Source organism: Homo sapiens, chromosome 13 (assembly GCF_000001405.40).
Source record: "Homo sapiens chromosome 13, GRCh38.p14 Primary Assembly".
NCBI lineage: Eukaryota > Metazoa > Chordata > Mammalia > Primates > Hominidae > Homo > Homo sapiens.
Genome location: NC_000013.11, coordinates 70731626 through 70732870, shown reverse-complemented (window position 1 = coordinate 70732870; position 1245 = coordinate 70731626).

The following is a 1245-nucleotide window of genomic DNA, read 5'->3' as shown; positions in this document are numbered from 1 at the left end:
AAACTCCCAGTCATACCCAAAACAATAACGGGGCTAAACAAAAGCCATAGCTCTCCTCCAGCTTAACTCTGATCCCTGTCGAACTGTGGTCAGTAGCCCCTGCCTGGGCTTCTTTTTTCTTTGAACTCTTGAACAACTGCTCCAGGATATTTTGACTTCAATTATGTAAACAGCTTGTCCTTCCTTTGTCCCAGGTTTGTTTGTTTGTTTTTCAAAGGCTTTATTGATAATAATACCTGTTCTATAAGTTGGCTGCTTAAATGTTTACTAAGATAAAACGATTGAGTGCCCCCTCCCCTACCCAGCCACCCTACTCTTTAGATTTACATGTGAAGAATTTAAATGTGCAAGAATTAATATACCTTTTAGTTGAATCAGTGACCCAAAAAAACCCATTCCACAATTTTAATACTGCACTTGTCCATGGCAAATTGAGCAATAGAAGGGACTGTTTGATCCACTCTACCAAAATACAACTCTGTAAGATATCAGAATACATTAAAAAGTAAATCTTCAATGTAGTCCACTCCATTTAAAGTCAATACATCAGAAAAGGGTAACATTTTGTGGCTAGAGTCACACATTGCTAAAATTTTATTCCAAGAAACATAAAGTAATAGTTTGAAAACCAAATTAAAATTTGAATTTTTTAAAAAAGAAGATCCTCTTAAAAAATTTTAGTATTTTAAAATATACAAATAAGTGTTTTCATATTATAGGCCTTAATTCAAACCCACATTATAGGATAAATTAAGTATTTCAAAATTCATTTAGAAATGAAGAAACTTTTAAAACTTTCATTTTTAATAGGCATTTTGTTTTTTAGATGGAAAACATATTCCACTTATACAGAACCATTTTTAAAGAAAATAAGTAAGCACCAGTTGAGTTATTAGGAGAAGAGCAATCAGAAAAATCATGCCGTATACAATCAGGACAAAATTTTGATCTGCTACTTTTTTGAAAATTCTTTGTAATAGAGAGTGGTTTAGTATTACTGTTCGACATTACACCACGCCATCTTCAATTGCTTTATACAATATCTCAGGAAATGGTCCAGCAGGTTTGCAGTAGCTAAAATGAGATTCATCTCCAATATCGATTTACTTATCCCATGACAGCATTCCCATCTGGAAAGTCCTCAGATCCTTTGAAATCCTCATTTTTGTTCAGTTGGCTGTGAACTTAGCTACTTGCTCTTTCACAATTGCAATATGTGGGCAAGATTTCACTAAATTTCTTAAT